At 44.5% G+C, this 15,769-nt stretch overlaps 1 annotated feature.

Moving 5' to 3' along the window:
• Window positions 6,616–7,116: an enhancer, noted in NCBI's record as "H3K4me1 hESC enhancer chr1:25494962-25495462 (GRCh37/hg19 assembly coordinates)". NCBI's record gives its function as "activates a minimal SCP1, AML or CMV promoter by ChIP-STARR-seq in primed H9 embryonic stem cells {active_cell/tissue: H9 hESC(primed)}" and the evidence as "EXISTENCE:reporter gene assay evidence [ECO:0000049][PMID:30033119]".

Below are 15,769 nucleotides of genomic sequence, written 5' to 3'. Positions count from 1 at the left end.
CATGTTGGCTATACAGTTGACACTTGTTGAAGACTTACTGTGTGTCAGGCACAGGTAGCTGTTCCTCAGGCTTTGTCCTCACAGTCCTATGAGAAGGTGCCCTCATACGCCCATTCAGCAGACAAGGGGACTGGGGTGTGGAGATGTGAGGTGTCTGCAAAGCAGGATGAAAAGCTGAGTGTGTGCGCATCAGGCCCAACGAGAGCAGAGTGCAGCAGAAGGTGCATCTGAAGTGGAGCAGAGAGGCACTGGGCCTGTCTCGGAGAAGTCTGAGGTCTGGGGCCTGGAGGAGATGGGAAAATGAGGCCAGGAAATGTTCCCTGGACAACAGTTAGGAAGGTCATACTTCCCAGTGAACGGGCATGACTGGGAATGACCAGCAATTCCCAAGGCCAGTGCCCGGGAGCCCAGGCCCTCCTGAGTTTCTGTTCCATGGAACAAAGAGGCCTTTGTTCTCCCTCATAAGCCTAGAGAGAACCACAGAGTTGGGTGCCCAAAAGAGGCAGCAGCCTGTTCTCCCTGGGGAAGAACTCTCGCATGGCGCCTTGCTCTGGACCCTCATCCATTAGCCATGCCAAGATTCAAGGAAGAAAGTTACCATCCAGCAGCTGGCAGGTAGGAGGCGGCCTGTGCTCTGTGGCCCTCAGTAAATCACAGCACTCAGTTGGCGTCTTGCTGGATTGCAATTACAATCCTTCAGGCCCGACACAAAATCACTGGGCTGGTAAGAGGAGAGTACCTGGGTAATGTGTTTAACAAAAATTAACCTGGTTAAGCCCTGACTCTATAGAAAATGAGAAAGTGTGGATGGGCCTAATCGATTCGTCCACAGCCCAATTTACTCCAGGGCTGGCTTTGGGTTTCAGTTAAGTGGGTCCACCCGAAAACAGGGATACTCGTTTTATTAAATTACCTCTTTGATTACAGAGTTCAGAGTATGGCAGAGTTTGTTTTTATGTTAGCCTTGGGGGCTGGTGGATGGAGGAGAGGGGGTTTTGGTGCACACATACGCTTGCACACGCTTGCACCCATGCACACGTCCCCTTGTCCATATAAGCATGCAAACAAACCTTTCCAGGGTGAGAAGGGTTAGTAAATATTTACCTCCCCTCCCACTGGGAGTCGAAAGTATGGATTTGATCAAATACTCATTTACTCTCTGCCCACCACCACTCCCCATCCCCTTGGCCTCTTGGCAGATAAATGATGTTATTTGAAGGTATTCTTGAAATTTCTGATGGAGACTGTTTCTTAAGTGCTTTTAGAGTAGGCCTATACTTTGTAATACTTGTCATATTCTGGCTAGTAAACTCCTGGCCTTTAAAAGCCGGAACCTTACTCTGTTTCCTGAATACAAGGGAATAGGTCATTAACTATGAATTTCAAATGAAGCAGATTTACAGTATATATCACAGAAATATGTTTCTGAGAGACAGCAAATACCAAGGAATCCATGGAGCAGAACAAGCCAAGAACTCAGGGAAAGCTCAGCTGGTCTGGGGAGTAGGCTTTTGTTTTTCTTTCTCAGGTTTTTGTGGCTTACTTGGCCCAGTCCAGGACTCTTGTTCCAGGTTCCTGCTAGAAACACCTTTCTGGTTCCTTTTGCTCCCACTTCAATGTGGAGCCCTACCCGGTGAGGGCCCTAGAAGACTTGACGGTGGAAATGACCATGTCTGGAGGTTAATCCTGGGGAGCTGGGGATGGGGAATTGGTTGGGGTAGGGTTAATTAGGGAAATGAGAGAGATAGTAATGGAAGTACATTAAGGTTGGGTCAGCTGGTTTGATGGTTTGTTTTATGTGTCAACTTGGCTAGGCCATAGGACCCAGTTATTCAACCAAACACTGACCTAGATGTTGCTGTGAAGGTATTTTGTTGACGTGGCTTACATCTGCAATCAGTTAATTTTAAGGAGATTATCCTAGATAATATGGGTGGGTTTCATCCAGTCAGTTGAAGGCCTTAAGAACAGAAACTCAAGTTTCCTAGAGTAGAAGAAATTCTGCTTAAGACTTCAGCATCAACCCCTGCCTGAATTTCCAGACTGCTGGCCTGCTCTGCAGATTTTGGACTTGCTGGTCTCCAGAATCCTAAGTCACTTCCTTAAAAATCCATCCACCCATCCAATCATTTGCCCGCCCATCCAACCATCCATCCACCCACCCATCCACCCATTTATCCACTCATCCATCCATCTATTCATCCATGCATCTACCTGTCCATCCATCCATCCATCCATCCATCCATCCATCCACCCACCCACCCACCCATTCATTCATTCATCCACCTATCCATCCTATTGGTTCTGTTTCTCCGGAGCACGCTGACTAATACAGCTGGCTCCTGGCAATAATTTTTGGACCTCTTTCCCTCATAATTTCTCAGCGTCCTTTTTCACTGGCCACCATCTTGAATGGGAGAGCCCCATGTCAGCACCTTGCACACAGCCTGGCACATGGTGAGTGCCCAGTGAGCATTAGCCAGTTCTACTCTTATTGCTCCCTACCTGGGATGACCTTTCAGTTTCTTTCGAGCTCTCTGCAGTTGTGGTAGACACTGTTGGCTCCCCACTGAGCCTTCACCTTTCTTCTTATAAATAAATAAGTTGAACCTTGGTTTTGTTCCAGCAATAGAGTGCTCAGCTACAGGGGCTGGGTCATGACTGGTCTTGGCCAGTCATAGTACTTCTACCTCTCTTTGCTGGTGATGGGTCTCTGGTGGGTATGTGATCCAGCTGTGGCCCAAGAGATGTTTGGGGAAAGTTGCTGGGGCATTTGGGAACATGTTTGGCCTGATAGGAGAGGCTCAGGTAGCAAATGCACTGTTCTTCCTGTTTCTCTCTTCTGGATCTTTGATTTAAAATAAAATTTGGATGAAATGCACACATCTCAATGAGTTTTTGCATGTATGTATACCCAAGTAACCATTATGGCCATGCATATATGCTACCCAGATCAAGGTGTAAGTCATTTCCAGCACCCCAGAAGGCTCCCTCCTGCCCCATCCTGGTCAATAGCTCCTACCAGAGGTAATCATTCTTCTAAATGCCGCTAACCTTTTATCACCATAGATTAGTTTGTTTGCTCCTGAACTTTATATAAATGAAATCACTCATAGTCTTCATTTGTGCTTCTTTTGCTGAACATTATGACTGTGAGAGTCATTTATGTTGTTAATGGTAGCAATGCTTCATTCTTTTTTAAATTGCTGTGAGCTTTCCATTTTGTAAACACACCCCAATTTATTTATCCATGTTTCTTATTTTTATTTATTTATTCATATGTTTATTTTTAGTTTTTAGAGACAAGGTCTTACTCTGCCCCCCAGGCTGGACTGCTGAGGTGCCATTCTAGCTCACTGCGGCCCCAAACTCCTGAGCTCAAGTGATCCTCCTGCCTCAGCTTCCTGAGTAGCTGGGACTACAGGTGCGTGCTACCATACCTGGCTAAGTTTTTAATATTTTGTAGAGACAGCGTCTTGCTCTGTTGCTCAGGCTGGTCTTGAACCCTGGGCTCAAACGATCCTCCTGCCTGGGCCTCCCAAAGTGCTGGGATTATAGGCGTGAGCCCTTGTGCCCGGCCTGGGGCCCATCGTGACTTTGCTCCTTACTCATGGTGGTGCTGGCGTTTTGCGTGGCTGTGCTCATCTCTCTCAGCAAAGCCAACCGGCCCCGTTCACACCCTAACTTCCCCAAGAAGCCTTCCCAGATGTCCCCTCTAACCCCACAATGCCCCCATTTTCAGCTGTGACTAATCTGTTACCTCTGAACTCCCACCAGACTGCAGTTGTACCTGGAAGAACTTTATTTAGTCATGCCTTCATTCATCTATTCAACAAGTATTTGTTAAGTGCCTGGTCCAAGTAACTATTCTAAGCATAGGGGATATAGCAGGGAATAAAACGCGCCCAGGTCCTGCCCTCATGGAGGTTTTTGTCAGGTAGGGAGGTAGAGTAGATAGGTCACATATCTGATGATGGCCATGCTGTGGAGAGACACCCGTATGGGGAATAGGAAGAGTGAGGGATGGGCAGTCAATACTTTCAATAGGGTTTTCAGGAAGACTTCAATGATAAGCGGTGGCATGAGCCTGGTAGGTAGCTGGGGGGAAGGGTGTTTCAGGCTGTGGGGACGGAACGGCAAGCACAGAGGCCTCTGGGAATATTGAACAATGAGTCTGATGCAGAGTGAGCAAAGGGACCCTGGGAGAAGATGAAGTCGGACCATGCAGGATCTTGTAGGCCAAGGTGAGTATTTTGGTGTAGGCTCTGAGTGACATGGGAACTACAGGAGTCTTTGAACAAAGGTGTTATCTGAACTGCCTTCCATTTTATTTTATTTTATTTTGTTTTGTTTTGTTTTATTTTGTTTTGTTTTGTTTTGTTTTATTTTATTTTATTTTATCTTATTTTATTTTATTTTGTTTTATTTTAGAGACAGAGTCTTGCACTGTTGCCCAGGCTGGAGTGCAGTGGTACGATCTTGGCTCACTGCAATCTCTGCCTCCCGGATTCAAGCGATTCTCCTGAATCAGCCTCCTGAGTAGCTGGGACTACAGGTGACTGCCACCATGCCCAGCTAATTTTTTTGTATTTTTAGTAGAGACAGGTTTTGCCATTTTGGCCAGGCTGGTTGCAAATTCCCAACCTCAGGTGATCCGCCCGCCTCGGCCTCCCAAAGTGCTGGGATTACAGGCATGAGCCACTGCGCCTGGCCTTTTTTTTTTTTTTTTTTTGAGCTGCCTTTCCTTTTAAAGCTCTCTCTGCTGCTTTCTGTTGAGGAAAATATTGTAAGGTGTGCAGGGAGGGGGCAGCAGGGTGTCTAGTGAGGAGGCTGGTGAGAGAGGGAGGTGCGGGGGCTGGAGCCATGGAGATGGGGGTGATTGGAAATCCCTGGAGGGCAGTTTGTGGAGTGGTGAAGCACACAGGCACTGGAGCCACCTGTCCTGCCTTCGACCTCGGCCCCATCGCTTCACAGCTACTTAACCTCTGTGTGACTTAGCTTCCTTATCTGTAAAATGGGGATGCGAGTACCTACTCCATAGAGCCACCATGAAGACTGAACGGCTTTTTTTTTTTTTTTTTTTTTCTGAGACAGGGTCTCTCTCTGTTGCCCAGGCTGGAGTGCAGTGGGACTACTGTGGCTCACTGCAGTCTTCTCAGTCTCAAGCAATCCTCCATCTTAGCCTCCCAGGTATCTGGGACCATAGGTGCATGCCACTACACCTGGCTAATTTTTAAATTTATTTTTTATAGAGGCAGGATCTTGCTCTGTTGCGCAGGCTGGTTTCGAACTCCTGGCCTCAAGCGATCCTCCAGCCTCAGGCTTCCAAAGTGCTGGGATTACAGGTATGAGCCACCCGCCCAGCCAAAGAATGAATAATTTAATACAGAAAGTGTTTAGAACAGCACGTGGCATGCAGCATGTCTTACACGTGCTAGCTAATATGCAGACGTGGAACCAGCGAGTCTTGCTAGCAGTTAAATGGGATAGAGAAAGAGGGTCAAAGATGGTTTCAAAGTTTTAGATCTAATATCTGGAGGAATCATGGAGGTGAATTTTAGATGAGTTTGAGATGCCTATTGTCACATAGGTGGAGGTGCTCAGGAGTTCGGTGTACCAGTTAGCGGCTCACGGCGGAGGCTGAACACCAACAGGGAGATGTTACTTTGCTCACTTGAACCTGCAGAATCCTTAGTTCACTAAGTTGTATTGTGTTTCACCTGTCGTGTATTTGGTCTCATAAACAGTAGTCTCTTTAGTTAGCAGGAAATCTCCTCACTCTCTAGGCCTAGCTTTCTCCCTTAGGCCTGGGGCTTCTAGAAGATTCCAATGCAAACACAGTACAAGGCCAGGATTCGAGGACAGGCTGCCCATGGTCTGGCAGGAGTAACGCTCTTCTTAGGGAGTCACAGGGCGGGGCTTGTCCTTGTTGGGAGAGGCAAGAGACAGGCCTTCCTTCTGGGGCCTCTATTCTATGCTTTTTGGAGGTCTGAGTCTCTGAGCCTTGTTGTGATTCCTGGAGCACCAGCTCCATAGGGAGCTGGACTTACTTTTCCAACAGCTGGTCCCTGGATGCCCAAAGGACAATCTTCCTTCCCTCCCTCTCTCCTTCCTTCCTTCCTTTTCTCCTCCTTCTCTTCTTTTCTGTTAGCCTTAAAAGAAGATAATAACTAACCAATTTTTATGTATATGTATGTGTGTATGTATATCTGCCTCTATCATCTTTCTATCTATATCACCATCATCCATCCATCCATCCATCCATCCATCCATCCATCCATCCAACCATCCAACCATCTCTATCTACCTATCTATTCCTTTCAGGAGGATTTTGGGGATAAAATACATTCACGGGGACTTCGTTTTGAAGGGGCCTTCAATTTCATGGAATCCAGACTCTTCATTTTACTGCTCAGAGAGCAAAGTGACTTTCCCAGAGTAACACATGTCTCCTGTGGCAGAGTAGGGATTAGCCCCCAGGTCTCCCGAATCCCCTCACCCGTCCTGCGGCTCTGATTGCATTCAGTCACCACACAGCTGGCAAGCCTTGGGGTGAGGCTGGAGGTCTCCCTGCAAGGATCCTCTCTGAGGCCTGGGGCAGCCTGCCATATCTGGGGCTACCCCTAAGGGGCCCTGCTGAGGCAGCGCTCCTTTTGCGGGGGGCGTTAGCTGCAGGGAGTCTGTTCCTGCAGACCCCTGATTCGGTGACAGATGAATAAAGTACACTGGCACACAGATATTCTGCTCTGCCGGTCCAGCTGAGGGTCCACTTACAGGCTCCAAGCTGAGTTCTGTAAACAGTTGAGACTCGGCCCTGATCAGCTAGTGAGGCTCGCATTTATTCAGCAACACTAATTAACAAAAGTTGCAAGTAAACACCACTAGAGGGTAAAGATTAAAGGCCAGTTTCTGAGGCCTAAAGCAAACACCGTTTGTGAGTAATACACTTTTGCAGACCTCCCTGAGTAGGAGGCAGTAAAGTACCCGGTAGGACAAAGGTCAGTCTAAAGCCCATATAAATAAACAGGTTAGTAAGATAGACTTCCCACATTCCTTTGTACTTGCACCTTAATCTTTCTGGCTCCTGCAAAGAGACCCTGGCTGCCTTCAGCCAAGCAATCTGAAGCTATGCAAACTCTCAGGTCTTCCAAGATAGTTTTTGGCTATTACTGTAACTATCTTTAATATTTTTCCCACCAGCCTGATTGAACCCCAACACCCTGCCCGCTGCTGCCCTCACCTCCTAGTGTTTCAGTCCAGGCCACCTGGCGTAGGTGAGTTTGCTGTTAGGTGACACCTCTCCAGTGGGTTTTTTCTAGGGCATCAGGGTAAGAAGAGCTACCATTTGTTGAATATTTACCATGCACCACACACTGCACTTGGCACCCTTGAGGGGTCAAGGTCAGGGAGGTCATTGACTACCCAGAGATCCCAGCTACTAAGTGGTGCAGGTGGGAGGTCTAGCCCTTGTGTCTTCATTAGTCCGTCTGCAGCTGCTGGTGTGGAAACCACCTTGTACTCCCGGGAAACACACTGGGCAGGGGACCTGAGAGCCTCGGCTCTCTAGCTAGCTCTGTGACCTTGGTACGCTCTGATTTGATTTTCTCATCTGCCGTGAGCCTCTCAGTTCCAGCCCTGCCTTCACGTGCTGTGCTGCAAATGGTAAAGTGCTGTGCTCCCTGGAGATGATGCTGTCCCTCGACTTGGCTCTTGTCCTGGTGGTCATTCTGTTCAGCCGGTGCTGGCCACATACTGCTAGTATCCTGCCTCCATCTACCTCCTCATCTGCCAGGGATGAAATGTACCACACGAGAGCTCCCTCTGGGACCAGGGATGGGCTGTGTTCTCCTGCCGCTGCAGCTTTGATTTCTTTCCTCTTTGATGTGGGGGCTGGAGGATGGGGCGAGGATCCTGCTCTGTGGAGCCACACAATACTGCCTTTGTGAACCCTGCCTCAGGGCATCTGCCCACAGAAACCTGCCCGCTCAGAGCTGCCTCTTGGGGAAAAGCAGCCTTCGGAAGAAGGGGAACAATGAACTTGTCATGTCGAGGAGCCAGCAGAGCCCGGGCCAGGGCTGGTACTGGGTGATTTAGGAGGCAGACTCTGGGGCCCTGTTAGCACTTCAGAAAGACATGGCATTAGGCTGGCAGGGATGGGAGCCTCTGGAATGTGTGGGAAGGGTGTGGTCTTCTGTGGCTCCAGGATCGAGTCCCCACCTACTTCTCTCATCCTGTGCCACCTTGTCCCTTGGCCCCACTCTCCAGCCCACAGTGGCGGCACTTCATCCTGCCTCAGGGCCTTGGTGCCTATAGGGCCTTTTCTTGAGATTTTAATCTTTCAAATATGCAGAAAATTACAGAACATAATTATCCATATACATCTGGGTGCCTATATCTGGGCAGATATGAACCTTTTGTCACTTTTGCTTCAGAATACTGCTTTTTAAATTATTTTTGTTCAAAATTCACAGTGTAGAAAAGGATATGCCACGTCCTCCCTCCATGGACCTGCAAGCACCTAGTCCCTCTCAGAGGCCTCTGATGCCATCGTTCTAGAGTGCGCTTTCTGAGATATTCTGTGCATACTTCCTCCCTCCCTCCCTCCCTCCCTTCCCTCCTTCCTTCCTCCCTCCCTCCCTCCCTCCCTTCCGTCCTTCCTTCCTCCCTCCCTCCCTCCCTCCCTTCCCTCCTTCCTTCCTTCCTTCCTTTCTTCCTTCCTTCCTTCCTTCCTTCCTTCCTTCCTTCCTTCCTCCCTCCCTCCCTCCCTCCCTCCCTCCCTCCCTCCTTCCTTCCTTCCTTCCTTCCTTCCTTCCTTCCTTCCTTCCTTCCGTCTTCCTTCCATCATCTATTTGTGTCAGTATGGACACGTGGTATTTATTTTGTACTTTGGGTTGTAATCTAAAAGTTTATAGGGACTTTTTTTTTTTTTTTTTTGAGACGGAGTCTTGCTCTGTTGCCCAGGCTGGAGTGCAGTGGCGCGATCTCTTCTCACTGCAAGCTCCGCCTCCCGGGTTTATGCCATTCTCCAGCCTCAGCCTCCCGAGTAGCTGGGACTACAGGTGCCCACCACCACGCCCAGTAAAATTTTTTTTTTTGTATTTTTAGTAGAGACAGGGTTTCACTGTGTTAGCCAGGATGGTCTCGATCTATAGGGACTTTTTAATATAGGGAGTAGATTAAGTCAGGGAAGGAACTGGTAGTTTGTTTTTTTAAAATTAAGGTAAAATTCACAGAATATAGAGTTAACCAATTTAAAGTGGACAATTCAGTGGGATTTAGTCCATTTATGGTGTTATGCAACTACTGCTTTCGCCTAGTACCAGGACGTTTTCATCATCCCATTAGGCAGTTACTACTCATTCTTCCTCTCCACCACCCCTTTCCCCCACAATCTGCTTTCTGTCTCTGTGAATTTGCCTATTCCAGATATTTCATGTAAATGAAACCATACAATATGTGACATTTTGTGTCTTATTTTCTTCACTTAGCATGATATTTTTGAGGTTCACCCATGTTGTAGCATGTCTCAAGCACTTTATTCCTTTTTATAGTTGAAGAATGTTCCGTTGTAGGTATATATCACAATTTGTTTATCCATTCATCCATTGCTGGACCATTGTTTCCCAATGTCTTTTGGCTGTTTTGTATAATGCTGCTATGAACATACATGTATTTGTTTGAGTAGCTGCAATTTTTTTTGGGTATATATCTAGGAGTGGAATTGCTGGGCCATATGGTATCATTTTGAAGAACTGCCATACCGCTTTCCAAAGTGGCTGCACTGGCTGGGTACGGTGGCTCACGCCTGTAATCCCAGCACTTTGGGAGACAGAGGTGGGCGGATCACTTGGGGACAGGAGTTTGAGATCAGCCTGGCCAATATGGTGAAGCCCTATCTCTACTAAAAAAAAATACAAAAAAAAAAAAAAAAAGAAAATTAGCTGGGTGTGGTGGCACATGCCTATAATCCCAGCTACTTGGGAAGCTGAGGCAGGAGAATCAATTGAAGCCAAGAGGCAGAGGCTGCAGTGAGCCGAGAGAGCCTGGGTGACAGAGCGAGACTTTGTCTCAAAAAAAGAAGAAAAAGTGGCTGCACCATTTTACATCCCCACCAGCAACATATGAAGTTTCCAATCTCCCTCACCCTTGTCAACACTTATTATCTTATTTATTTATTTTTTAAATTATAGTCATGCCAGGGGTGTGAAGTGGTATCTCATTGTGAATTTAAAAAAATATTCTTTAATTGACAAATAAAAATTGTACATATTTATGTGTACAATATGATGTTTTGAAATATGTATACATTGTAGCTCAGTTGGGCTAACTAGCATGTATTGTTATCTCGCATACTTATTTTTTCTGGCAAGAACACTTAAAATCTAGTCTTTTCACCATTTTCAAGTACATATACATTGTTATTAATTACAGTGCCATATTGTACAATAGATCTCTTGAACTTATTCCTCCCGTCTAACTGAAATTTTATATATTTTAACCAACACCGGCCACCTCTCCACCCCTCCCTGTGGATTTGACTTTTATTTCCCTATGCTTGTTGGCCATTTGTGTATCTTCTTTTGATAAATGTTTATTCAAATCCTTTGCCCATTTTTAATTGAGCTATTTGTCTTTCTGTTGTTGGATGCAAGAGTTCCTTATGTATCCTGGCTACTAGACCTTTATAAGATATGTGATTTGCAAATATTTTATCATATTCTGTAGGTTGTCTTTTCACTTTTTTGCTGCACAAAAGTTTTTAATTTGATGAAGTCCTACTTATCCATTTTTTCTTTTGCTGCTTGTACTTTTGGTGTCATATTTAAGATTTCATTTCTAAATTCGAGGACATGAGATTTACCCTTATGTTTTCTTTTAAGAGTTTTATGGTTTTAGCTCTTATATTTAAGTTGTTGATCCATTTTGAGTTAATTTATTTATATGGTGTGAGGTTGGGGTCCAAATTCATTTTTTAGCATGTGAATATCCCATAAAATAAACTTTAAAAAATTAAAAAAATTTGAAGCAATCTCAAAGTTGCAAGAATAGTACAAAAAATCTTTTTTTCTCATATCATTTGACAGCAGGTTGTCAACATGGTGCAACCTACCATTTTTTTTTAAAGAAGTTCTTTTTAAAAAAGTTTTACATGAAAATATTTCATCCTCTCCACACCTCCATCCCTCATTCCCCACCCTGCTTGGCCCAGGACATGCCTAACAGCAAGTCAGAGGCAGGTAGAAACTCAGGTTTAGTCTGCCTGAGATGCCTCAAACACTTTGGTCCATAGAGACAGTCAACAAATGACTCTGGTCTCCAGGAGCAGAAGGAGCCTGGTCATATCTGATCATGGCTGTAAATAGGAGTCTAGCACAGGTAGCAGGCCCTGCCGACAGAGGATCGGTGAATGCCAGCTCCCAAGGGTAGGCCCAATGTTGTGGGAGTGGGGCAGGGTGAGGGCAGGAAGAGCACAGTCTCTGTGTGTCACACTTACCCTCACCTGCTTGTCTGCCCTTACTCCTCAAGGTGGTCCTAGAAGAGGGGTTATCCCCTCAAAACCCCCTGCCTAGCCAGCCCTTGGCCTACAAGTTAGAGGAATGTGGTTGCTCTCTGCTTAACCTTGGCCTTGGACTTAATGGGCAATGGGCGGATCATGGCTGGGTCAGTAGGCTGGATGAATTTTTTCCAGCCACCAAGCCCATTGATGTCCTTACCACACCTTTGCTGTGACAGGGCTCTGGTCTGTCCCTCTTGGGCTGTTTCTGACCCAGGATGGCATTCGGATGAAAATAGTGAAGCCATCTGATACTTTAGTATCAGGCACCATTGAAACTTGAACGTGCATTTCTCACAATCAAGGTAGGTCTACAGAACCGTCGAAATCAGGACATGAGCATGGATTTGTCACTGCTGTCTAATCTTCAGACCCCATTCAAGGTCCTCCAGTTGTCCCTATAATGTGCTTTATAGCAAAAGACATGATTCAGAATCAGACAGCTGTCATGTCTCTTTACTTCCCTTCACTCTGGAACAGCTCCTCAGCCTTTCTTTGATTTCCATGAGCTTGATGCTTTTGAAGATTACAGGCTAGTGTTTTTGCAGTTTGCCTCCTGAGCTCAAACAATCCACCTATCTTGGCCTCCCAAAGTGCTGGGATTACAGGTGTGAGCCACCGCACCTGGCCTGTTTTTTTTTTTAATAGGCTTTATTTTTCAGGACAGTTTTTGGTTCACAGAAAAATTGAGTGGGAGTTACACAGATTTGCCATCTACCACCTCACCCTACATATACAGAGCCTCTCCACTATCAATGTTCCATGAAAGAGTGGTCCATTTTTTATAATTAGTGAACCACCCAAAGTCTATAGTTTACATTAGGATTCACTCTTGGTGCTGTACGTTCTATGGGTTTTGAAAAATGTACGATGACATGTATCCACCATTATAGTATCATATAGGATAGTTTCGCTTGTCCTAAAAATCCTCTGCGCCCTTCCTATTCATCCCTCCCCATCCATATTTTTGCCTTTTCTGGAATGTCATAGAATTGGAATTATAAGTATGTAGACCTTTCAGATTGGCTTCTTTCACTTAATAGTGTGCATTCAAATGTTCATAGCTTGGTAGTTTGTTTATAGTGCTGAATAATATTCCATTGTCTGGATGTGCCACAGTTTAGTTATTCATTCACCTACCGAAAGACAACTTGGTTGCTTCCAAGTTTTGGCAACAAAAATGTTATAAACATTGTGTGTAGGGTTTTTTGTGGACATGTTTTCAACTGATTTGGATAAATACCAAGGAACACGATTGCTTGATCATATGTTTAGTTTTTAGTATATTATGTTTAGTAAGAAACTGTTAAACTGTTTTCCAAAGTGGCTGTACCATTTGGCACTCCCATCAGCAATGAATGAGAGTTCCTGTTGGATTTTGGACATTCTAACAGGTATGTAGTGATATCTCATTTTTGTTTTAATTTGCAATTCCATAATGATATATGATATTGAGCATCTTTTCATATACTTATTTGCCATCTGTATATCATCTTTAGTGAAGGAAGGGTCTGTTCAGGTCTTTTGCCCATTTTTTAATCAGGTTGTTCATTTTCTTATTGTTGAATTTTATGAGTTATTTGTATTTTTTTCTTCCTGAGTTGGAGTCTTGCTATGTTGCCCAGGCTGGAGTGCAGTGGCTATTCACAGGAATGATCATAGCATACTACAGCCTTAAACTCCTAGCCTCAAGTAATTCTCCTGCCCCAGGCTCCTGAGTAGTTGGGACCACCGGTGTGTGCCATGGTGCCTGGCTGTATATTTTGGATAACAGTATTTTATTGGATATGACTTTTGCAAATACTTTCTCCCATTCTGTGGCTTGTTTTCTCATTCTCTTGGCAACGTTTTTCCCAGAGCAGATGGTTTTAATTTTAGTGAAGTCCAGCTTATGAATTATTTCTTTCATGGATTTTGCCTTTGATGTTGTATCTAAAATATCATTGCCTCACACAGGGCTAACTAGTTTTTCTCCTATATTATCTTCCAGGAATCTTATAATGTTGTGGTTTACATTTAGGTCTCTGATTCATTTTGAGTTAATTTTTGTGAAAGGTGTAAAGTCTGTGTCTAGATTCATTTTTTTCGTATGTGAATGTCCAGCTATTCTTACACCATTTTTAATCAACAAAATAGTTTCTGTTGATTAAAAAACTATTTTTGGTCCACTGTATTGCCCATGGTCCTTTGTCAAAGATCAGTTGACTATATTTATGTGGGTCTATTTCTGGATTATCTATTATGCTCTATTGATCTATTTGCTTCCCCTTTTGCCAGTGCAACACTGTCTTGATTACTGTAGCTCTATAGTGAGTATTGAAGTTGAATAGTGTTAGTCCTCTAACTTTGCTCTCTTTCATTGTTGTGTTGGGTATTCTGGGTTATATGCCACTCCATATAAAATCAGTTTGTCACTATCTACAAAATAATTGTCAGGATTTTGATTGAGATTGTATTGAATCTATAGATCAAGTTGAGAACTGGCATCTCTCCAGTTCATATTCCATGAACATGGACTATCTCTCCATTTATTTAGTTTTTGATTTAATTCATCAGAGTTTTGTAGTTTTCCTTATATAGATCTTGTACTTATATTTTGTTAGATTTATAATTAGGTATTTCATTTTTGGGGTGCTAATGGCATTTTTTTGTTTCGTTGTTTTGTTTTTTGAGATGGAGTCTCGCTCTGTCTCCCAGGCTGGAGTGCAGGGGTATGATCTTGGCTCACTGCAGCCTCTGCCTCCGGAGCTCAAGTGATTCTCCTGCCTCAGACTCTCAAGTAACTTGGATTACAGGTGCCCACCACCACGCCCAGCTAATTTTTGTATTTTTAGTAGAGATGGGGTTTCACTATGTCGGCCAGGCTGGTTTTGAACTTCTGACCTCAAATGATCCACCCACCTTGGCATCCCAAAGTGCTGGGATTACAGGAGTGGGCCACTGTGCCTGGCCGGTATTGTGTTTCTAATGTCACATTCCACTTGTTCATTGCTGGTACGTAGGAAAGTGATTGACTTTTGTATATTAACCTTGTATTCTGTGGCATTGCTGTAATTGCTATTCATTCCAGAAGTTTCTTTTTTCTTGATTCTTTCAGATTTTCTACATAGATATTCCTGTCATCTGTGAACAAAGACAGTTTTATTTCTTCCATCCCAACCTGTATGTCTTTTCTTTTCTTATTGCATTAGCTAGGACTTCCAGTATGTTGAAAAGGAGTTGTGTGAAGGGACATCCTTGCCTTTTTCCTGATCTTAGAAAAGCTTCTAGTTTCTCACCATTAAGTATGATGTTATCTATAGCCTCACGGCCTTTTGGCTAAGATCAAGTGAAGTATGATGTTACCTGTGGGTTTATTTGGTAGATGCTTTTTGTGAAGTTGAGGCAGTTCCTCTCTATTCCTAGTTTGCTGAGAGTTTTTACTTATTTTTTTAAATCATGAATTGGTATTGGATTTTGTCTAATGCTTTTTCTGCATCTATTGATATGATCATGTGATTTTTCTTCTTTAGCCTGTTGATGTGATGGATTACATTTAAATTATTATATTATTTTTAAGACTCAAATCGTCCCTGATTTAGCCAGTGGGAGCCCTTTTAGGCTGCTTTCTGTCATTTTGAAAGGACAGTGCTTCCTTTCTTTCTGGTACAACAAGATGTTCCAGGCCCATCTTGTACTTTCCATGCCCTAGCCCTGGAACAAACCAATTCTCTAAGGATGTGTGGTTCTTTTCAGGAAAGAATGTATTTAGAAACCAAGATCTGGGCACTAGGTGTGCTGGTTGCTATTGTGGGTGGGGGTGGTGGCAGCTGCTCCCAGGTATCTCATTACTTTTCTATTTATTTCACCCTACTGAGGGCTGACCTCCTGTACACATGTCTTCCTCACTATGCTTGGGTCCTGATGCTTTGCCCCTGAGAAAAAGCAAGCATTTCCATTCGATGTGTTAGATTTGGGATGCTGATTAGACATCCAAGTGTGGAAGTTGAGCAGGCTGCTAGAGCTAACAGGGGAGGTTCGGTTAGAGATAATCAATGTGAGGGTCTTCGGTGGACAGGTGACATTTAAAGCTGTGGATTGGGTGAGTTCCTAGAAGCCTAAGAGATGAACCTTGGGGTACTTGAGAGTTAGAAGAGGAGTCAGCCAAGTGTCCTGAGTATGTCAGTTTCCTCATCTGTAAAATGAGTATAATACCTCTCTCATTGGATTGTAAGG

Source organism: Homo sapiens, chromosome 1, assembly GCF_000001405.40.
Source record: "Homo sapiens chromosome 1, GRCh38.p14 Primary Assembly".
NCBI lineage: Eukaryota > Metazoa > Chordata > Mammalia > Primates > Hominidae > Homo > Homo sapiens.
The sequence above is the reverse complement of the archived record's forward strand: the minus strand, read 5'-3'. Positions and strand labels throughout refer to the sequence as shown.